Here is a 23,192-nt window from a genome sequence, read left to right on the forward strand (position 1 = left end):
GCCACCCCCAGCGAGGGAGACACTGTCCACATACCGAGGAAGGCAGATGGAAGGAGCAGGCCTCTAAAGCCACAGATGAGTTTCAGGATCAACCACAAAGTTGCCATCCTCCTCTTCAAAGGGATAATGAATGCCTTTATGGTTCCAGCCACATTTAGGAAGGCCGTCTGTTGCATGTGGCTGAGCACATCCTAACCAGTATCTTTCCTCCCGCTCGCTGTGTTCCACTCTCCCTGGCCTTGCAGCCCGTGGTCGTGCTGTGCCCTCTCCTGCCTCGGGAGATGTGCACACGCCATTCCCTCTGTTTGGAGCACTCTTCGTCCTGCTTTTCACACATCCTTTAAGTTTCAGATTGTTTTCACATAAAGGTTTCTCTGCTGTATTATTTTCTTTATGTCTGCTTCTTGTTAGTTTCATCCACAGCCCCTAGCACATTTTGAAATTATTTTTTCGGTATACTTTTTTTCTTCCCCTCTAGACTGTAAGTTCCATAAAGGCAGAGACTGTATGTATTTTGCTCACCTTACAAGGTGCATGGCAGAGGGAAGGTGCTCACCACCTGTTTACTGACTGAGGGCGTGAATGGAGGAGTGGTGCTCATCTTCCTGACCTTATCCTCTGCTGCTTGATGACCTCTCACAGTTTCTACTTTAGCCACATGGAATGGTGGTTTCTAGAATGTTCTTTAGTCTCTGTCACTTTTTAGTCTTTGCATATGCATCTCAGTTTGCTGGAACAGCTCTCCTCCTTCACCCAGACACCTCCCACTCTTCTGTAGGTCTCAGCTGAGCTTCCACTTCTTCCTGGAAGCATCCCTCTGCTGACCATGTGCCCTGGGGACACTGCTCTCAGCAGGCAGAGCACCTCCCAGTCTGCACTGTAGGCCCCTGATTGCTTTTGTATTTATTATTTCTATTTTTCGAGATGGAGTCTTGCTCTGTTGCCTGGGCTGGAGTGCAGTGGCGTGATCTCAGCTCACTGCAACTTCCACCTCCCGGGTTCAAGCGATTCTTGTGCCTCACCCTCCTGAGTAGCTGGGATTACAGGCGTGCGCCACCACGGTCAGCTAATTTTTGTATTTTTAGTAGAGACGGTGTTTCATCATGTTGGCCAGGCTGATCTCGAACTCTTGACCTCAATAATCCGCCCGTCTCGGCCTCCCAGAGTGCTGGGATTACAGGCACGGGCCACTGTGCCCGACCGGGATGGCTTTTTTAAGTCACCGTATCCCTAGCATGCAGCCTGTAGTAGGTGCTCAAAAAGTATTTGTTGAATTAGTTCCTTTGATTAATATTTTTGAATGCCCACTGTGTGTCACACATTGTGTGAAGTGTTGAGGTTATAAAGATGAAAAAGAAATTGTCTCCATTCTTACATTCTAGAAAGGGAGACAGGTCTATTAACCAGTAAAAAAAATGCAACGTGATGAGTGTGGGAAAAGAGGCTGTGGGAACACCGATGAGGGAACAATGAAATCTTCCAGGGAAGTAGAAGATGGGGTGTTAGGGAGCGCTTCAGAGAGAGACTGGAGAAGGACAGAGTGGGGTTCAAGCCAGCAAAATTATTTCCAAAGGGGAAGGATGGATGTCTGTGTCTAGGTGTGTATGTCTATGCCTTTATGTCTATGTGTCTACGTTGAAGTCTATATGTAAGTCTCTATGCCTAAGCCTCTGTCTCTCTATAAAGCATATGGAGAAGGGGCCACACTGGAGAAGTAAGGGAGAGTATGTGTAGGGAAAATGAGGGCAGAGGGTCTGAGAAGGGGCTTCAGCAGTTAGACTTGTTTTTGTTTTTTTTTTTAGACAGAGTGTCACTTTGTCGCCCAGGCTGAAGTGCAGTGGCGCCATATTGGCTCACTGCAACCTCCGCCTCCTGGGTTCAAGTGATTCTCCTGCCTCAGCCTGCCGAGTGGCTGGGATTACAGGTGCCCGCCACCACACCCAGCTAATTTTTGTATTTTTAGTAGAGACAGGGTTTTACCATGTTGGCCAGGCTAGTCTTGAACTCCTGACATCAAGTGATCCATCCGCCTCGGCCTCCCAAAGTGCTGAGATTACAGGTGTGAGCCACCGCGCCTGGCTGAGATTTGTGTTCCATCCAGTTCTCCCCTCACTTGGGGCTTCTATATATGTAAGCACTGGGGGCCTCAGGACCCCTGGCTTAGTCAACGGCTGCTCCCAGAGCTGGGAACATGACAGCTTCATGCCAGGGCAGCCCCAGGTAGCTTTGTTCTTGGGCCCCTGGATGCCAGAGGCAGCTCCACTCACCTTGCGGGGCCGCTCCCTCTCCACCTGGGTTCCAATCTGGTTCTGCTCCTTACCTGCTGGGTGACGGGGCAAGTGCCTTCCCACCATGATGAGGAGATGATGTTTCCCGCAGAGGGTTCTGGGGAGGATGCAGTGAGATCATGTATGCAAAGCACCCCTCTTGGGGCTGCACACGGTGGGAGCTGGGCAGTTGCCAGTTCCCTCTCCTTCCTCTCCCTCCTTGGCTGACTACCCAACAGGTGAAGATCTGACCTGTTCTCTGACCGAGCCCCGGGCGCCCCCAGCTGAGCCCCGTGGCAGGCAGCAGAGTCTCAGTGTCACATAAAGGCAATTTCTCTAGCTGATTCTTTTTAAAGAACAAAAAGCAAATTGCCTCTCAGTCTTACTTGGCTGCCTCAGCCGTGCGCTTTGCCAGAGTGTTTGCATTCAGGGATCCGTGGGGGTCCTGAGGTGGTGGGCCATGCGTGCTGCCTGTTCAGTGCAGCCCCCCGCTTTGTCTGATTTCCTAATACAGTGCAGCATTCGAATTTTTCTCTAAGCATCTGAAAGCGAAAGGGAAATTGTGACTGTGGATGAGTCCCTTTTAGCGACCTCTGTGAGATCTCCCCAAAGTTGTTCTCCAGCCCAATTAGAAACCTGCCTGACTTTCAGGAGCGGGAGTGCCTGCCGTTGAAGACTCCTGTTCCGAGCCCTAATTACTGCTTGATGGAATGAATAAAGACGTCATGTTTTCTGCATTTTACTTAGAGAGTTGCTGATGCGGTGAATGTTGGATGAAACGTCTCTTTCCTCAGAGAGATTAAAAACTAAGTGCCTCAGCGACAGAGCCAAGCGGCTGTTTTAACAACAGACTTCCCCTCCTGCGCTCCCTTGGCCTCGCAGTTGGAGCTGGTCTGGGCCCCTTCTGTTCTTTCCACTCTTCTGGAATCAAGGTGGAAGATGCCTTGACCATCGAATTTGACTGATTAAAAAAGAGACACAAGCATCTGTTGAGCCCTTGCTGTGCATCCGACTTTTTCCATCCATTCTCTCATTTCTTTCTCACAGCAGCGTTATGAAACGGCTTGCTGTGCCCCTTGTGCAGATGAGGAAACTGAGGCTCACAGAGTTAGTGTCTTGCCCAAGGTCATCTGGATAGCAGGTAGCAGAACGGTGGTTTGAATTCAACCTCCAGTGCAGAGTTTGTGGTCTTTCTCCATCGGCTCCAGGGACATTTCCTGGCCTGCGTGGTGGAACCTGCCCACCCCCTGAGGAGCCAACCAGTTCTTTTCCTTGACAGAGAATGGCACGGTATAGTGGTTAACTCCCACCATATGACAAATCTCCCCAAAACTTAGTGGCTCAAGACAATGAACTTGACTATTATTGATGGCTCTGTGTTTGGCTAGATGGCTCCTTTGGTCTTGGCCAGGTTGTCTGGGGCTGCAGGAACTGGGATGGCCTCCCTCAGTATCAGCTGTGGCAAGGACCACATGGCCTCTTATCTTCCAAGAGGCTCGCCCAGGCCTGACCTCTTCCTCACACATTCTCCATGTCCATGTAGATGTAGATATCCATTCTTCCTCTTTGAAAGTAACTGAGCTGGCTTGGACCCTGTCTATCTTGCAGAAGAGGGAAGCCTGATGCCTAAGTACTTTTTACATCCTCTGTTATTTCATGTCTGTTAATGTCCGGTTGGCCAAAGGAAGTCATATGTCCAAGTCCAGACTCAAGGGATGGATAATGGACTCCTTCTCTTGATGGGAGGGGCCAAGAAGCCCCATTTGAAGGGGTGTGCCTGCAGGAACGAGGAAGGCTTTGTGGTCATTCTGCGTTACTGCAAAGGGTAACACCCACTCTTCAAAGGCCATTTCACAGCTCCTGGTCCTGTAAACTAAGGGTGTGGAGAGGGGGCTTACTGAGCTTCCACATCTGGACGGGATATCACGAGGCTGTGCCAGACAGATGCCTCATTTTGTTTGTTTGATGCGTGTGTTGCTGTTTTTTAAACACGCAGAGAATGTGAAAACACAACTTCCCTTTTGAATTGATCCTTGTTCTCACAACTAGTCATTACCTTTCATGATTGTTATTAATATTTCCCTGGACCAGCTGCTGCAGATGAACCTGGAGTGCATGTTTGGAGTTGGTGGTGGGGAAGGTCCCTGTTCTGGGCTTGAGGCTCCAGGGATGGAGGAGGGGACATTGGTGCCCCATGCCTGCCCTCTTCTCAGGCTCACAGCATGCCCTGGTTTCTCCACCTGGACTTAACAGAGTTTCCGCCGTTATCTGGGAGATGAAGACCAGAGGGTTTTAGGCCCTTTGAAGGAAGGAACGGTTCAGAAGAATGAGTCAGTGATGGAGTCTCTAGATGTCTTGCCAGCTCCATCTCTGCTACTGTATTCTCAGCCCCCTAGCCTCCCTCTTGTGCTTCCAGGGATATAGTGCCCCGTTTTCAGTGCAGAAAGTACTTTGATCAGAGGTTTGTGAAAACCAGTTTCAAGGCTGCCAGCTTTGGGTATTCCTGGGGTGTGGGCCTCAGTTCCAGGTTGCCCTGAAACTCTCCTTTCAGCAGGGAGAGAAAAGGCAGTAGGAGCTACAAACACCTTGGGCCTTGTCCCCAAGCTCAGCCTTCTTGGGTGACTCACCCGAGCAAGGAGCAAGTCAAACTCAGCACAAGGGAACCCCTGCCCCAGAGCCCGTGACATAAAGGTGAAAGAAAGGCTTTTGGTGTCTCTTGCAGCCAGAGTATGTTTGAACATTAGAGGCTGGTTTTAGGTTTGACGCTTTCTCATGCTGGCATGAGCACCTAGCATGGGGCCTGGCGCATCAGAAAAGCTCTAGAAGCGACCTTGCCATCCGCCCACTCTGCAGGTGGCCGAAGCCCTTGGGTGGAAGGTTCCAGGGAGAGTAGTGCTGGCAGCCCTGATTCAGGTGTGTTTGGGGAAAGGGAAAGGTGAGACCTTCAATGTGGGAGCCCCTAAGGCCTGCAGAAAAATGAGACTCTTAAAGCTGCTCCTCCCACAGCGGGAGGGTACCTCCACCCACCAGGCTTCCGGCTTCTCAGCGTGGCTGATTCCTGGTGCACTGTCAGCCTTTATGGGTCCCATTAGGGCAAGAGAGTAAGAGGTTTTATGGGAGTTTTTCCCCCCTCTGTCTTAAAAAAAAAGAAAACTAGAGTTTTCCTGCGAATTAAACAAATGTCAAATCAGCTTTGGCTGCCTGAATGGCAGCCTTTCAGAGGCAGTGCCTGAGGCTAACTCAGGGAAATGGGGTTCCTGCTCTCTGGGCCTCCCAGCAAAGCCCACCTGGTTTTTGTTCTGCTCTTTGAACAGAGGGCTGAGGAGGGATGCTGGTCTTTGTTTTCCTCCCACAGTCAGGACTGGAGGAGATCCTAGCCAGGAGTGCAGAGGCAGGGGTCTGGGGACCCTCTCCCCACCAGGAAGATCTTCAGGGGTTCTGGGAGTCCCTGGCATTACAGGCAGCATCACAAATATGCATGGAAAGTGAAATTGGAAGGGGTAAATCTGTAGCTTTGTTCTGATTCTCAAAGAGGTCAGTGACCTTCAAAAAGATTAAGAACTCATGAGAGGCTGGGCATGGTGGCTCATGCCTGTAATCCTAGCACTTTGGGAGGCTGAGGCAGGCAAATCACTTGAGGCCAGGAGTTTGAGACCAGCCTGGGCAACATACTGAGATCCCATCCCTACAAAAAATACAAAAAGGTGTGGTGGCATGCGCCTGTAGTTCCAGCTATTCAGGAGGCTGAGTGGGAGGATCACTTGAGCCTGGGGAGATGGAAGCTGTAGTGAGCCGGATCGTGCCACTGCACTCTAGCCTGGTGACAGAGTGAGACCTTGTCACAAACAAACAAGCAAAACTCATGAGAACTATTACAGCACCCACATTTTGGACAAGAAGAACTTGGTCCAGGGGCTGGGTGTGGTGGCTCACGTCTGTAATCCCAGCACTTTGGGAGGCCGAGGCAGGTAGATCACTTGAGGTCAGGAGTTTGAGACCAGCCTGGCCAATATGGTGAAACCTCATCTCTAGTAAAAATACAAAAATTAGCCAGGCTTTGTGGTGCACGCCTGTAATCCCAGCTACTGGGGAGGCTGAGGCAGGAGCATCACTGGAACTCGGGAGGTGGCGGTTGCAGTGAGCCGAGATTGCGCCACTGCACTCCAGCCTGGGCAACAGAGCGAGACTCCATCTCAAACGAAAACAAAAACAAACCCCAAAAGAACCTTGTCCAGGAAGGTCTACACAGGGCAAGTGACTTGATGATTCAATTCACATAGCACATTAGTGGCTGTTTGTTTAAAGATCAGGTCCCTCTGTTTAAGGCGGGGTGTGGGGGGGCGCAAAATTGAGGAGGGGAGGCTTTTTCTCATTTGCAAGCAGCTTGTCTCATAATTGACTGGTTTTTTTTTGGTTCTGTTGTTGTTGTGTGTGTGGTTTTTTTTTTTTTTTTTTTAAGTTGGAATCACTCCCAGAAGTAAAGGGGCTGAGATGAGCAAAATAAATAAGGAATAAGTAGGCTCAACGTGTGGGGGAAGTATAAAATACAAAGTGACTGAGTTTGGGGTGAAAATGACTCAGAGCTGAATGGGAACAGAAGTGAGCTGTGCCCTCTGTGTTCCTGGTCCAGGCTGAATGAGAGGAAGAGAGCAGCATGAAGGATAAAGAAGCTGGGTGAGCTTCTTATATAGTTTTCTGGTACAGTGGGCTAAGCGGCTTCTTTTTAAATGGGGAACCCTAGGCTATCAGTGACCCCTGACTCCTACAGGTCTGGAGGATTGAAATGGAACCCTCACCTTCTGAGCCATTGATCCTCTCTCTTTGATTTTGCCAGAGTCCCTCTCCCCAGCTCAGTCCCAGCCAGGTACCCCGGGGCTGCCTTCCCCGGGCTCTCATCCTCCTCTTTCATCCAGCGGCTCCTTACAGTATAGTTCAGGAAGCCCCTGGGAGCCAGCTCCGTAGATTGCCCCCTCTTTCTTCTTGGTTGCTTTTGACAAGCTGTGGAGGCCCCCCTTCTAGTTTCTCTAAAATGATAAAAAGGTTGAAAACATCTTTTTGCTATTCTCAACTGATTGAGTTTTTGTTCCTGGAGCCAATCTCCATTTAGTGGACAAACAGAGCCCTATAGGAATTGATTACCATCCTGCTGGCTCCCCAGGGGACTGTTCAGGGAGTGCCAGCCCCTCTCTGGGAATGGGTGGGTAGCCATATGAGGACCCACCTGAAGAGGAAGGAAGGAATTGGCCTGGCAGCTTCTAGAAATTCCCTCAGGCTCACCTCATTTCAATCCTTTTGGACAGGCATTGATAACCCATTTTGCAGATGAGTAAACCAAGGCACAGAGAAGTAAAAGAGCATGCTCCAGTGTTGACAGAGGAGGCTCTGAACACAGAACTGGCTGAGCCCGAAGCCCATAGTTCCGATTGAAGGCCTATCTGGGTATGAGGGTATCTGTCTCGCCTTAGTTTTCTGGCTGCATTTTCGTTAGTATCTTCTTCTTATTAGCATTTGAAACAGAGTCTCGCTCTGTCGTCCAGGCTGGAGTGCAGTGGTGCAGTCATAGCTCACTGCAGCCTTGGACTCCTGGGCTCAGGCAATCCTCCCGTCTCAGCCTCCCCAGTAGCTGAGACTGCAGATGTGCACCACCAGGCCTGGCTAATTTTTTTATGTTTTGTAGAGATAAGGTCTCACTATGTTGCCTAGGTTGGTCTCGAACTCCTGGCCTCAAACAGTCTTCCTGCCGCAGCCTCCCAAAGTGTTGGGATTACAGGCATGAGCCACCATACCCGGCCAGTGTCTTATTAATATTAGAGTGCTAGATCTGACGATACAGGCCTGAAGGTAGGAGAGAAGGAGGAAGGTGGCAGAGGGATGATCTTCTGATGGGGAATCTCCAGAGCTGAGGTCACAAATGGGGAGACTGAGTCCCACTGGCAGATAGGTCATGTGCAGACATGCTGCTGTTTTGTTTGGCTTGGCAATGACTTTGAATGCCTGTGGGTAGGGCAGGCATTTTCCCATGGGCCACAGGCCCACCTCTCCCTGAGGCCACACACCTGCCAGGCTACACTTACTTTATTGGCTTGGTCGGCTCGAGAGTGTGAATCTGCACATCTCTCCCTGATTCTGCCTTCAGTGACATCAGGCTGGCAGCTTGAAATTGGCCATCTTGGGTGTATTCCACCATAGAAGTCAGCAAACACTACAAATCAGGGCTTTTTATTTCTGCAGTTCGTTGTTTATTTTTTCAGAGCCAGTTTACCTGCACAGTACTGCCTGTGGGCATTTTCTTTCAGCCCTCCTTTGAAAACTCTCTCCAGTTTGTACTAGGCATGATCATCCACCTTGCTTTATTTAAATCAGTCTCATTTACGCCTCACGACAAGCCTGCCCTGGAAGATGTCCCTGACCCCATCTTGAAAATAAAGAAACACATGCCGGGCATAGGGCCCAGGGCTTGGGTTCAAAGACAAGTCCTTTGCCTTCAAGCGTCATACCCCTTGATGGGGCTTAACTCCTTGGTTTTCATTTGGGGGGAAGGTTTGGCAATATCTGAGGACATTTTTGTTGCCACAAGTAGAGGGGGTGCTACTGGCACGTGGTGGGTGGAGGTGGGGGAAGCTGCTAACATCCTACAATGCATAGGGCAGCCCTGCCACAAAGAATGATCTAGCCCCTGGCCGGGTGCGGTGGCTCATGCCTATAACCCCAGCACTTTGGGAGGCCGAGGAAGGCGGATCACGAGGTCAGGAGATCGAGACCATCCTGGCTAACACGGTGAAACCCCGTCTCTACTAAAAATACAAAAAAAATTAGCCAGGCGTGGTGGCGGGCACCTGTAGCCCCAGCTACTCGGGAGGCTGAGGCAGGAGAATGGCATGAACCCAGGAGGCGAAGCTTGCAGTGAGCCGAGATCGCGCCACTGCACTCCAGCCTGGGCGACAGAGCGAGACTCCTTCTCAAAAAAAAAAAAAAAAAAAAAAAAAAGAATGATCTGCCCCCCTTCGTTTGGAAGCTACTAACATTCTACAGTGCACAGGGCAGCCCTGCCACAAAGAATGATCTGGCCCCAGATGCCAGAGGTGCCGAGGTGTGGGGAGCCCTCTGTTAGCAGGTGGTACCCCCTGGGCATCGCATTGCTTTTCCTATCTCAGGAAGGCATGAACTAAATAAAGGTAACACTCATCTTGGTCAGGAATGGGGAAGCACCGTTTGGACAAAGCTAACTATGCTACCAAGGTGGCTTTCCAGATGGGCTGGCCGGCAGGTTTAAGACCTCACTGGGCTTGTGCCCAGACCTGGGAAGTTAAAGTCAGATAGGAGAGGGTCACAGTCATCGCCCAGCAGTGGGAACTGTGACCTGAAGACAAATACAGACAGGGGAGGATTTCATGAGAAAAGAGAACATGGGAGTGGTGAGAAACAGCAGAAGCCCTGTCCCAGGAAGGGGCCAGCCAGCCCCTGTTAGCGATAAGCCAGAGCTGGAGAAAACAGAATCAAGATCCAGATAGATTTACAGGGCTGCATTGGTGGTTCCCAAATCTGCCTCTTTGTCAGAGTCATCCAGAGAGCTTTAATAAGAGAAAACAATGTGTATGGCCAGACCTTGCCTCAGACTTACTTGGAATGGCCAGAAGTGGGGCCTGGAAGTCTGATATATATATGTATTTGAGACAGGGTCTCACTCTGTTGCCCAGGCCAGAGTGCAGTGGTATGATCATGGCTCACTACAGCCTCTACCTTTTGGCTTTAAGAAATTATCCTGTCTCAGCCTCCCGAGTAGCCGGGACCACTGGTGTGCACCACCGTACCTGCCTAATTTTTAATGTTGCCCAGGCTGGTCTTGAACTCCTGGGCTCAAGCAACCTCCCGCCTTGACCTCCCAAAGTATTGAGATTACAGACGTGAGCCAGTGCGCACAGCACAGCCAAGTCTGAATTTTAAAAAACTTTCCAAGTGATACTGATGACTGGCCAAGTTAGGGACCCCTGGGAAAGATGAACGTGTTACTTGTCAGTGATGGCTGTTAAATATCAAAACGAGTATTTGAGGGAGGCTAGGCACCAGCATCACTCATGCAATAAAGTGTTTGAAGACTTGACACTGCTCTGCCCTTACAACAGTAGGTGGGCCAGTCTCCTGCCCTCTCCAAGTGTACAGAATAGAATTAGGCACAGGGGACAAAATCTCTCTGAGCCTCATTTTCCTCATCAGTTAAATAAGACAAATACTACTTACAGCATGGGGTCTTTGCGAGGATGACATCAAGAAGCAGTGTGACAGCCATCAGCAAGTTCCCAGCTTAGCGTCTGAGTGGGGTGGGTCCTCTGTAGCTGTTGTCCATGGCTTTTGCTGCAAGAGCTTCCTCTTTCAGTCCAAATTCTACATGGGTTGTGGTTCTACCTTGTGTCAGGGACATTCCAGGCCCTGGAGGATATTGAAGTGAGGGAGGCCTTGTTTTCATCCTCAGAGAGCTTACAGCATAGCAGGGAGGTAGATGTGTAAAACCCCCTGCCCTTCAGCCACGCTGGGCACAGAGCGTGGAGAGGTGGCACAAGCTTGCCGTGGGCCTGGTGCAAGAGGGATCATGGGTCAGGGAAGCTGCTTAAATGGAATTCCAAAGGAAGTTACAGGGTTTTGGTAGGATGGAGAAAGTTCTTTAGTTGTGCCAGGTCAATGAGGCTGGTGGGCAGCAGGGAAAGACCGCACAGGCGGTGGCTGGGGAGAGGGTGTACCTGGGGTCTCTATGCCTTTTCTAATAGGCTTCTTGTTCTTGCCCTCTTTTTCTCTCTTTCCTCCCATCTCCCTTCCTGAGAAATGATACCCTTCAGGTGCAGACACTTGAAAAAGTTCATCTGCTTGGTGCTTGATTTATCATTCAAACCTTCAGTAACTGATTTCCAGTCTCATAAAATATTAAATACGTCCATTTATTGAATATCGCATTTTGATATGTTTTGACGCCTCATTTGCCACTGAAGTCAAGGACAGATTCACGTTTTTCATGGCATGGGGCCCAGATTTGTCCTCGTACAGTGTTGTATTAAATCCCCTCCCCACGCCCCTCCTCTGCAGACCCACGCTCCTCAGCGTCTCACTTGAGCAGCCACCCTGACGGCCCAGTTGGCATGGACCATGGCAGGCCCAGGGCAGAATGGCCACATGTATCATCCCCAGGGAGAGTTATTTACATAGCGCTGTAAACATTTGTGGAAGGAAAGACAAGGTCTCTGCCAGACATCTCTAGATTCCGCATCAGACAGTGGCCAAGCCAGGGGTAGAGCCCGAGGGGAGAAACTGTGTCCTCCCACAGGCCTGTGAGCACACTCATTCCGTCCATTCATCTGCTCATGCTGGCAACTGAGGTTTAAGAAGCACCTACTAAGTGTTAGATACTGAGCTAGGCCCTGGGGATTTTACGATGGAAAGCTGTTGTGCATGAGAGTGCCGCAGGTGTTGGGGGAGAAGTGTGTCGTTAGGAGCTGTGAGCATGGAGAGGAGGGCATGCAGTTCTCCCACGGAGGTGACTGGGAGTGATGGGGCCGTGGAAAGACTTTAGAGAAGGAACAGCCCTTGAGCTCAGGCTTCAGCTAAGAATGAGTTTGCAGATGGCCGAGGAGGATAAGGGCGTTCCAGTCAGGGCGTGCTGCTGGAGCAGTGGCATGGAGGGGAATCTGCATGTTTTGAGGCTGGGTGCTATTCTGTATGGCTGGGGATGGAGGGTTCCGGAGGGGCCTGGTAGGAGTTTAGGGTGGCCAGGAGGTAAGAGCAGGTCACAGAGGGCTTAGAAGCCACAAAGGTGATGGAATTTGGGTGGTCTCCTGGAGATGGCAAGGGAATGCCACAATTCATTGGATGAGAGGATGGTTTGGAGCAGGGCAAGACCAGAGGCAAGGATGCCAGTTGGGAGGCTCGGCTCAGTGGTCCAGGTGAGAAATGAGGAGGAGGAGGAGGACAGGCTTCGGGGAGACATTCAGGAAGTGGACTGCATGGTGGTGACCGGTTCAGTATTGGTGGGCCCTTAGGCTGGGTTTCCCCAAAAGTACACCCTGAGAAAATGACTTGTATTGTAACGGGTTTGGTTGAGGGGCGATCATGGGAATCAGCAATGGCACAGTGAGGCAGGGAGGGGCACCTGTGTTTAGCACCACAGCACGTTGGTGTGCAGGAGGCCGGGAGAAGGCCTTCATGAAGAGAGCCCAGGTGCTTGCAGCTTGGGGAAGGGGCTGGGGCAGGGCCCTGTGGGCATCTGCACGGTGGGTGAGGGGAGGGAGGAGTCAAGTCTGATTCCCAGGACCACACGTTGGGTGGAAATGCCATTCAGATAGAAAGAATTTGGGGGAGTGGCCATTTGGGGGCAGAAAGGGGATGACAAATTCAGCTTTGCCATGTTGAGTTTGGGGTGCCTGTAAGCTGGCCACATGGAAGCACCCAGCAGGAAGTTGATTGATGGGGTGTGGAATCCAGGAGAGGGGTGTGGGCGTGAGACACAGATTTGGGCTTTATTTGGGTAGAGATGCAGCCAAAGCCACGGGCCCAGATTGTGTCACTTATAGTCACTTAAGAAGAGCAGAGAGCAGATGAGAGAGGAAAGAGCTGGGAAACACAGGAATTTATAGAACAATCTGGGGAAGAAAGCCTGGCAAGTCAACTGAGGAGCAACTGGAGAAGGTGGAGGGAAAAACGAGGGCAGGTGAGACCCTGGATTCCAGGGGGTGGTTGCCAGTTGGAAGAGATTGGAAAAGACAGTGGCTGCCGAGAGGAGTCAAATCAGGTGAGGGTGGAAAAGCTTTCGCTGGGCAATGAGGAGGTCATGGGGCTTTTGCAGGGAATGTTTTCAGTCGTGTGGTAAGGAGCAGAAGCCAGAGAGGCAGCTGTACGAGGTTTTTGAGCAAGGAAGTGTCAAGGTCAAAGTGGCATTTTAGAAGATGATTCTGGAAAAGGTGTGTAAGGTCAGAGATAGGAGAGGCTGAGGTCAGGAGGCCAGCAATGAGGCTGCTGCAGGCTTCCAGCCAGCTGGGAGTGCAGCAGTGAGCTTAGAGAATGTGGGAGGCTTGCTTGAGTCCAGGAGTTTGAGACCAGCCTGGACAATGCAGTGAGACCCCATCTATACAAAAAGTATAGGAAGAAAAGGAGAAATCTGGGAGGCGGAGTGCAAGGAATACTTGCTAAGACTCAAAATCACTAGGCTAAGAGGACACATTTACAAAGGCTCTTGGGGCCAGCCCCACTGGCCACACTCTGTGTGTGTGTGCACGCATGTGTATTTTTCAGGGCTAAATGCTGTCATCAGTAACACAGTCTCTGCCCCTACCCATACTGAGAGGTGACCTTGGTTGTGATCCTCACCCCTCTAGGGCTTTTTCCTCATTGTGGAGGAAGCAGTGACCCCCCTTCTAAGTTGTGAGACTCACAAGAATGATGCCTTTCAAAGCACTGTGTAGGTTGTGATGAAGCATATGGGTTTTTAACTACGGTGCAAACAACTGTCAGGGCTTGTGTCTCTGCAGGGCCCAGAAGGTGCCCCAGAAGCTGACCCTGCTACCTCCTGCCCTGCTCCTCTGCCCCCAGCCCCACCCTTCTGGAAGCGCCTGTGTCTCCTGACCTTGGATGCTCCTTCTTCAAGGTGGATAGGCCTGGCTGGCTGGCGGCCTGTGGATACAAAAGTGACCTGCCAGCAGGAGCCTTTTTTTCTTTCCTCTTCCATTCAGAGCTAGTCTGCAACCCACTGGCAGGGAGAGTGTTGAATCTGATTTGCTGAAATACAATAGCAGATTGATTTTGTAGCCACCAGTGCCTGTAACAAATTCCAAGTGAAGTTTGGATTGCACAATTGTGGGGTAATGACATTTTAATTGCATGTCATATTTAGTCTGGCTCAATCTGAAGCCTGGGGTGGAGGCCCAACCCTGCGTGCTCCCAGCGCCTCCCCTCCTGCTTCAGTTGGGCCTGTTTGGTCCCTCTCAGAGTTTTCTCTCTTTCCCCCAGCCCCTCCCACCTCGGGGATCTGGGTGCAGGCAGGTGGGGGTGAAGTCGAAGACAGTTCTGGGCTTGCATCTGTTTCAGACTTTTTTTTTTTTAGAGCTGTTTGTTTTTGCCATCTTGCCGTGTTGCCCAGGGTGACCTCAAACTCCTGGGCTCCTCTGATCTTCCTGCCTCAGCCTCCCAAGTAGCTGGGACCATGGTCATGTGCCTCCACTCCTGGCTGTTTGAGACATTTTCCCCCTTTCCCCTTTCCCAAAGGTAGCTTTCCCTACCTTTGTTTTTCCCTCTCTGCTTTCCCTTTTCCCCCATCTTTGCAGTTGCTTTTTTTTTTTTTTTTTTTTTTTTTTTTGAGACAGAGTTTTGCTCTGTTGCCCAGGCTGGAGGTCTCGGTTCACTGCAACCTCCGCCTCCCAGGTTCCAGCAATTCTCCTGCCTCAGCCTCCTGAGTAGCTGGGACTACAGGTGCGTGCCACCTGCCTGGCTAATTTTTGTATTTTTAGTACAGATGCGGTTTCACCATGTTGGCCAGGCTGGTCTCGAACTCCTGACCTCAGGTGATCCATCTGCCTCGGCCTCCCAAATTGCTGGGATTACAGGCATGAGCCATACGCCCAGCCTGCACATCTTAATGGACCTGCCTTCTACCCCTTTCTCCTTCTACTGCTTTTTCTTTCCTCTTCTACACTTGGTTTTCCTGTCCCTCCTTTCCTCGGCTCTCTCCACTAACCTGCTGTGTGATCTTGGACATGTCACTTCCCCTCTCCGAGCCCCAGTCCTCTCATTTATGAAATGCAGGGCTTAGACTGATTGGTCTCTGTGAGCCTTTGATATGCATGGGATTCCTCCTTGTGTGCATCCCTCCTTCCCTCCCCATCTGCCTTCTCCTGTCTCTCGCTTCTTGGTTTCGCTTTGTTTTTATGGCGATGCTCGGAGCAGGAGTCTCTCATTCCACAATACAGGTGGAGGCCTGGACTGCCTATTATGATCCGTGAGCCTTCCACAGGAGAGTGACTCAGTGAGGAGCTGATTTGCTCCCTTCCCCCAGAACAGCCAAGTAATTGAAGAAAACATGAATGTTAATGATGCATTTAGCGTTTGGAAGTTAGAGGGGTGATTAATATGTTGTAAGTTGTATATTAACACCTTCACAGTGGCATAATGAAGACAAAATATACACTCAGAGATGAGATTGTTTATTCTTGTGTGCAGCACTCCTGGATGCCAACCCCCTAAGCCTCGGAACACGTGGCATGGCTGTGTGTTGCTGGGAGAGGGTGGCCGCAGGGATGGTGTCTGGCTTCGTGGTTTCTGCTGATGAGCTCTCTCACCTGTCCTGGGGCTGGCCCAGGCAGCCGGAGTGGAGGGTGGAGAGCACAGTGGGCTGGGGGCTTGGAGTCTGTGAGAGACCAGATGGTAGGGGACACTGTCATTCAGGAGTGGCATGCCCAGAAGACAGTGCAGCATGTTCTTTGTGGTCTGCGGAGCTCACTCTAAGTTTTCAAAGGAACGACAGGATAGGAGAAGTGAAGGGAGGATGCAGGAAATAGGAAATGCCTGCAGTGTCTTGAGCTTCAGGAACTCTGGGATTTGCCCATTCTGCCCTAGGGAGGTCCCCCTCCCCAGCAAGGGGATTCTTGCTACAGGTTATGCCTAGTGAGTCACAAGCCTGGGTGCAAGCAAAACATGTTGATTGGAAACTCTCTGACCAGGTTCTGTATTGGTGCTCAGGCCTTTTACATGAGAACCACAGAGTCTCAGAATGTCAGCGCAGGAAGAGCCTTGAAAGAACGTCCGGCCCATGTCCTGTCGTTTTCAACAGGAAACCAAGGCCCAGTGAGCGGACAAGACTTTGATTTGGATTGACAGCTCGAGGCAGAACCAGGAGAGGGTCAGCTCACCTTCGTTCAGCCCCTGGGACTCTAGATTGGGGTGCAGAGATCTAGGGACTCTGGCCCCTCGATGACTCCCTTGGCCCATTTGTCCAGGAGGCCACATAGGAACTCCACCCAGTAGCTCCAAAGTGTGGAATAGCGGATAGGATGTAGAGAGATTTGAATCCTAGCTCTGCTGATTACTGGATGTGTGGCTGTGAGAAAGTGGTTTCATCTCTTCGGGCCTTAGTATCTCCATCTGTCAAAGAGGAACAATAATATTTAATATGCAGTATAATTGTAAGGATCACTTGCATCCTGAACACACACACTAAAAAATGATTAGCATTAACGTGTGCGTGTCTGCATGCATGCACGTGTGTGTGTGAAATACCAAGTACAGTTTCTGGCAAAAGACAAGGAAGGCGCTCAAAAAATGGTGATAATGGTGTATCATAATTGTTACTGTTATCATCATGATTTGCTTTCACGGCTGCAGCCTGCACACCCAGCTCTCATCTGTTCTTCAAGATTCATTTTAGTCACCCTTCCTCCGTGCATAATCCCTCACTGCCCACTACCCCAGTCTCAGTTCAGCACACTCCTGTGTGTGGTATAACCCTTCATCCATCTCTTGTTGGTGGAGTTTGCTTGTCTCTCTCCCCCATCTGCCTATAAGCTCGGTGGGGGCGGAGACTGTGCCTCCTCCCTTCCCCCGCAGCATCAGTGTTCCTGAAATGTTCATTGGACGGATGAGTGCTCTAATTCCAGGCCTGGTGCGCCCCACCTGGGATGAAGCCAGTGCGTGTGAACCTGCTAGCTTCTGATTTCTTAAGATGAATCCTGAGTTCTTTTGTGCAGTGCAGGGAGTGCTGTGCTTTTGGGTTGAGGGCACCCCCTCCTAGGGATAGAAAGTTGGTGACCCCTTACCTCCTTGCAGGGCCGATTGTAACTTAGGTCCTGCTGCTTCCACAAAGCCTTCCCTAGTAATTCCATCTTTTCTGTACCGCTCCTGTAATACTTAATTCATTCTTCTCCTGACATGCTTGTCATACTTTACCTTGTCCTGTATCACTTACTTATGTGATGTATCTCCTTTGCGATACACCTCGTATCTATCCCTGTGGGACAACTCGTCCGCCCGTGAACCACCATGGGTCCATCTATAGTAGACTTTACCATTGGTAGAGTTTAAATGGCACTTTGTTGAATGAATGAATGATAAATTTCCTACTATATTTGTAGTGTGGAAGCCTGTTCAGCTGTTATCTCATTGTAATGCTAGTTTTTCTCATTATCCATTCTACATTCCGTGAGAGCAAGGATTTTACTAAATACTTCTGTGTCCTCATAATACTGGGCAGATAATTTAATGGGTAATTAATTACTGATTGATTTCCTTAAATTTTCTATCCTATTAAGACTTTTGAGGCAAAAAAAAAAAAAAATCTTATTAGCCTTGTTAAGGGGTGCCAACATTTGAAAGAATTGACTAAGCCTGAGTCCCTATGATGAAACGTATAGCATGTGGGATTCCCCATGACAGGTGGAAATCCAAAGGGTTTTTCTGATCATTTCCTGAAAGCCACTGATGACTTCACTGAAGGCAAAAGATCTCAGTTAAAGGGAATTATTAGACTTGACACTAGAAGTTGTCAGTGTAGCCCTCATTATCGGGCTACTTTGTGGTGGATGGGAACTGGCTTTGGGGCTTTGTCTGTGACAGGAGAGTGCTCCCTGCTGACTCTGGGTGGGTCAGACAGAGGCCATACCAGAGCTCTGAGCTTCCACCGTGTGTAGAGCCCTGAGCGGGGCAGGGAACACAGGGACAAAGAGGAGTGAGGTAGGTAGGGGAGGAGGGTCATGGGCACATGGTGCAAACCCGAGTGTGTGTGTGAGAAAAAAGCATTTCTAATCAGTGACCCTCGTATTAAGCAGGGTTCTGTGTGTGAGTGGTGGGGTTGCTGGGATAAAGAGCCATTTGAGGCTGGAGGGCTGGTCTCTGCCATTGGGGTCTTGGCTGGTGAGAATGAGGATGATTACTCATATCCATGTGTCGTTGTGACTCAGAGAGCTCGGGTTCTGGAGTTGGAGAGACCAAAGTTCACAGCTGAGCCCAGCTGCTGCTTAGCTGATTGGCCTTGGGTAAGTTCCTCACACTTTCTGTTTCTTCTTCTCTTGTGTGGGGTATCATAATAACTGCTTCCTGTTTCTCTGTGTCTTGTACAAGAAGACATGCCCCCACAGTGGGACTAGCACTCAGGTCTTGTCAATTCTTGTCCTGTGCTTTCTATACCCTTCAGCCAAGGGAAGGGGGGCTGTCTGCTTAATTAGCTGATGTTGATAAGAGCTTTGGAGATACAAAGCTCTTGATAAGAGCTAATCCCCTTAATCTGTGTGGGGCTGATGTGTGCATGTGTTGTACAAGGCAAATAGCACTGGGGGGATTGACCAGGAATGCAGGGCAGCACACGGAGTGTGCATGTGTTTGCGTGTGTGCATGTGTACACATTGTTCTTGCTCCCTTGAAAGGTGCTGCAGACATGATGTGCAGGGATTCATGCCTCAGATGGAGCTTGGAGGAGATGCCCTCCGTGTTTTTCCATCCCCAAAATGCTGTGATTCTATCCTTGATTGGAAGGTGGCTCCAGGTCCTGGGGCAGGGAAGCTCCTGAGCTCTGCAGGAGCGTCTGTGTGGTCCAAGGGAAGGATTTAAGAGCCCAGAGTCAGGTGTGGGGTGAGCTTTCTGCACACTGCCCTGCTCACTGTCTCAGGGTGCTGAGGCATTTAAAAATTGTCCTGATAATCCTTCTGGCAAAGTTGCCAGCCCTACTATAGCCTAGAAAAGAGGAATCTGTGAACTCAAAGACATGCTGTTCTGTTTTGACTCAGCAATGGGCAATCTGTTTTCTCCCAGGAGTTTGGTCTTAACCTTAGGTTATCAATTGGTTCACCCTGCCCTCTGTTCCCTCCCCTCTGCATATGTAAGCTCAGCCTGCATCCTCTCTCGCTTCCTTCTGTGAACCTTCCCTGCAGGCAGTGATGGGGACAGGCCCTCAGTGCAGTGCCTGGCCTGCCCCCCATGTAGGCGTGGCTCCCCCAGAAACAGACCCCAAGTGAAGACAGAAGTAAGTGCAAGTGGTTATGTGGTTGGTGGTCCTGGGAACCACACAGAAAGGGGGTTATGGTTTTTTAAAAGTGCACTCATTTGCCTGATAGAAGAGTGGAGAAGTGAGACAGGGAAGGGAAAGAAGACCATAAAACTGTGGCCACCCGGGGCCCAATCCCACTGGGGCACAGTGGGAGAGTATGGCCACTAGCTAGGGTCTAGCACTTGGGGCCTGTCCCATGTGCATGGGCTGCATGAGCTCCAGAGACCAGAAAGTTCTTGGATGAGACAGAGGTGCCTGCATCTGGAGGCCCCCGGATCAGCGAGTGTGAGAGAAGTGGACATGGCCCCACAGCTGCTCCTGGCCAATCTGAACTACTGCATCCTAGACCCAGGCTTGGCCATTGCAGTGAAGACATCTCCTGTGGCTGTAACCCCACTCAGATGTACATGCCAGCTACCCTACGGTTCTAGGAGCATTTTTGCAATTTTTATTTCTTGGAAGACACTGGCAGTGATCTGATTTATTAAAACTGTAAGTTGGCTGGGCGCGGTGGCTCACGTCTGTAATCCCAGCACTTTGGGAGGCCAAGGCGGGTGGATCATGAGGTCAGGAGATCGAGACCATCCTGGCTAACATGGTGAAACCCCGTCTCTACTAACAATACAAAAAATTATCCGGGTGTGGTGGCGGGCGCTTGTAGTCCCAGCTACTCGGGAGGCTGAGGCAGGAGAATGGTGTGAACCCAGGAGGCGGAGCTTGCAGTGAGCTGAGATCGCGCCACTGCACTCCAGCCTGGGCAACAAAGCAAGACTCAATCTCAAAACAAAACAAAACAAAAAACAAAACAAACAAACAAACAAAAACCGTAAGCAAATATGCATTCATCGTGGGTTTCGTTTGTGTCAGGCACCATGCTAGGTGCTTTTTCTGTGTATCTCATCTTGGTCCTTTTGATATCCCATGAAGCAGGTGTTGTTATTCTTGTTTGCTATTTGAGGCAACTGAGGCAGAGAGTGGTTAAGTGAGTTTATGCAGCTTGTAGGAGGCCGATTGAGGCCCTGAACCTAGTACCATACCATCTTTCCTGGCTGCGCTCACCATCTGAGAGCTTGGTTCTGCCAAATGGCACTTCACAAAGCATTGAGCGGGTTGGGTGGGCTACTTCTGTGGGCCTCCTGTGTATAGACACCAAAAATAAGATTCAATCCAACTAAAAGCCTGTTAATTATGCCCCAAAAATATGGATTGAAGGGTACCTGGGCCTTGATGGATGGAAGCTGCCTTTAAGTCAGACTCTGAGGAATGTCGTAGCCCCTCACCCTTTGATGAATTTGTGTCTGCCTGGCAGGGCCTGGCAGCTGCCCGGGCTCTGGCTCTCTTCTCTATTCCAGGAAGCCCAGCCATGCCAGCTCTGGCTTGTCACTCTTTTTGTCCCAGGGAGCCCCTAGAGACCTCTCAGTAATGCATTCTACCTACTGGGCTTGGCTGGCACTCTTCCTGCCCCTAGGGCCTGGTAAGTGACTTTGCCATCAGGCTTTGTGATTGCAGCTTGTGGGTGGGGATCCCCAGGATCCTCTTTAACTGGGTGCTCAGTTTTCATTTTAATCTGACAACTGAAGAGCTCTGGAGTAGGAGCCAGGAGATCTTGATTTCAGTCTCACTCATTGCTTATGTGTCCCCCTACTTCTCTTCTCTGGGCCTAGCGTCCTCATCTGCTAAGTGATGGGATCTAGTATCCCTTCCAGGCCTGAAATCCCAGGAGTTGGGGAGAAGCAGGAATTGGGTTACAAAGAGGGCAGAGGGTTACCAGCTGATTTCAGAGGTTTGTCTCCTCCAGGACCCAGCTGTCTGCTGGCTGACAGGTCAAGCACCCGGGATCCATTACATTAGATCAATCTAAGAGACCTTGGATTCTGCCAGTCCTAGGCACTTCATAAAATCCCTGGCCTTACATCTTTGTTGGGGTGGGGATGGGGCAGAGGGAAGAACTTGGGAATTGGTGCATGGTGGGGATGGGGAAGAGGGCTGTGGACTGACCCATATTTGAGCCACGGAGTCTGGGCCAGCCCCAGGAGCAGAGGGGCCTGTAGAATGGGCCATGATGGATTGTGACCACTCAGCTTGTGGGTCAATAATCCCTTTACTAAGAGATCCGCAGGTGCACCTTAGCTGGAGCTCAGTCATAAAGGCAGCAGTGGAGAATGGAGCTTTCATAAGGGGTCCTGAGGAAGCGCCTGTTAGATTGCTCTTTCAAATTGGCCGTGACAGACATGTTCCTTAGGGAGCCATTATCTTCAGACGGAAGCTGGATACTTTGGTCTGGAAGATTTGACCCTAGGCTATTCAGCCAGGATGGATGGAATAGGAAGTTGGCCCTACAATGCCTCATGGCCAAAGTGCTTTGGCCATGGTGGCCAGGAAGGGATACAGAATGTTGAGAGGGGAGCAGAGGGACTGGAGATGGTCATGCACAAGGCACCAGACCCCTCCAAAGGTGTCGGAAAACCAAAGATCAGCACATGAAACTACGTCAAGACCTTGAGGGAGCACACAGATTTCAGATATGGGAGTGGGCTGCTCAGATTTTACAAGATAACCCTTTTGTCTCAGGCAATGAACCAGTCAGCTTTCCTTGCACCAAACAAGCTTATAATACACTACAGTTACCTGTACAAGTGATTCCAGTGCCCCCTGTGCATCAAGCAGTTTTTATTGGGCTTTTGCCCTGGGGTTCCTTGAAGTTGCCACTGCTAAAGGGGACTTTTTTAAGAGGCTTAAAAGCCTCTGCTAGAATGATCAAAGAGGGTTCCAGGATGGCAGTGGACAGGTGTGACTGGAGCAAAAAGTTCACTTAGGACAGGGGTTCTCCTGGGGAACCTTCTCGGGAGCCCCGTGAATGTTGGCAAAGTGTTACGTGTAAGTAGTGATGTGTGTTTCTCTGGGCAAGAGCGTAAAACCTTCAGCCAGAGTCTCAAAATGGTCTTTTGTCTCGCAAGAGGTTACGGTTAAGAACCGCAGTCAGCTCTATACAGCAGGGCTATGTCTGCTTTGCTTTCCATTGTTTTCTTAGTACCTAGCTTAGGTACCTGGCACTTAGTAGGTGGTTAATAAATAATGGTTGGATGAACAGCTGACTAAGAAGATTAATAGTTCATGACTGGGAAAAGCTTTTTTATTTTATTTTATTTTATTTTATCTTATTTATTTATTTATTTATTGAGGCAGGATCTAACTCTGTTGCCCAGGCTTGAGTGCAATGGCACGATCTCAGCTCACTGCAGCCTCAGCCTCGCAGGCCCAAGTGATCCTCCCATCTCAGCCTCCTGAGGAGCTAAGACCATAGACATGTGCCACTACACCTGGCTAATTTCGAAATTTTTTGTACAGACAGTGATATCATTTGGATCAGTGGGGCCTGGTTGTAGGTGATTGGATCATAGAGGTGGATTTCCCTCTTCGTGCTGTTCTTGTGATAGTCAATGAGTTCTTGTGAGATCTGGTCATTTAAAAGTGTGTAGCACCTCCCCCACTCTTCCTCCTGCTCCGGCTGTGTGAAGTGCTCACTCCTCCTTTGCCTTTGGCCATGATTGTAAGTTTTCTGAGGCCTCCCCAGAAGCAGATGCTGCTGTGCTTTCTGTACAGCTTGCAGAATTGTGAGCCAGTAACATCTCTTTTCATCATAAATTACCCAGTCTCAAATATTTCTTTATAGCAACGTGAGAATGGAATAATAATGAAAATTGGTATCGGGAGTGGGGTATTGCTATAAAGATACCTGAAAATGTGGAAGCAACTTTGGAACTGGGTAATAGGCAGAGGCTGAGAGAGTATGGAGGGCTCAGCAGAAGGCAGGAAGATTTGGAATTTCCTAGAGACTTTTTGAATGGTTGTGACCCAAATGCAGATAGTGATATGAACAGAGATAGCCAGGCTCTGGATGTGTCCAGATGGAGATG

The 23,192-nt window shown here is 50.1% G+C and overlaps 1 protein-coding gene across 21 annotated transcripts in view, besides 3 other annotated features; it reads left to right on the top strand.

The window, feature by feature from the left end:
* GRIK4 (glutamate ionotropic receptor kainate type subunit 4) overlaps nucleotides 1–23,192 on the top strand; it is a 477,159-nt gene that overhangs the window by 83,196 nt on the left and 370,771 nt on the right. The window lies entirely within an intron of this gene.
* Nucleotides 14,039–14,762: an enhancer, noted in NCBI's record as "NANOG-H3K4me1 hESC enhancer chr11:120479691-120480414 (GRCh37/hg19 assembly coordinates)". NCBI's record gives its function as "activates a minimal SCP1, AML or CMV promoter by ChIP-STARR-seq in naive H9 embryonic stem cells {active_cell/tissue: H9 hESC(naive)}" and the evidence as "EXISTENCE:reporter gene assay evidence [ECO:0000049][PMID:30033119]".
* Nucleotides 15,061–15,574: an enhancer, noted in NCBI's record as "H3K4me1 hESC enhancer chr11:120480713-120481226 (GRCh37/hg19 assembly coordinates)". NCBI's record gives its function as "activates a minimal SCP1, AML or CMV promoter by ChIP-STARR-seq in naive H9 embryonic stem cells {active_cell/tissue: H9 hESC(naive)}" and the evidence as "EXISTENCE:reporter gene assay evidence [ECO:0000049][PMID:30033119]".
* Nucleotides 18,080–18,419: an enhancer, noted in NCBI's record as "active region_5639". NCBI's record gives its function as "activates an Ori minimal core promoter by ATAC-STARR-seq in GM12878 lymphoblastoid cells {active_cell/tissue: GM12878}" and the evidence as "EXISTENCE:reporter gene assay evidence [ECO:0000049][PMID:35858748]".

The sequence above is a fragment of the Homo sapiens genome, chromosome 11, assembly GCF_000001405.40.
Source record: "Homo sapiens chromosome 11, GRCh38.p14 Primary Assembly".
NCBI classification, from domain to species: domain Eukaryota; kingdom Metazoa; phylum Chordata; class Mammalia; order Primates; family Hominidae; genus Homo; species Homo sapiens.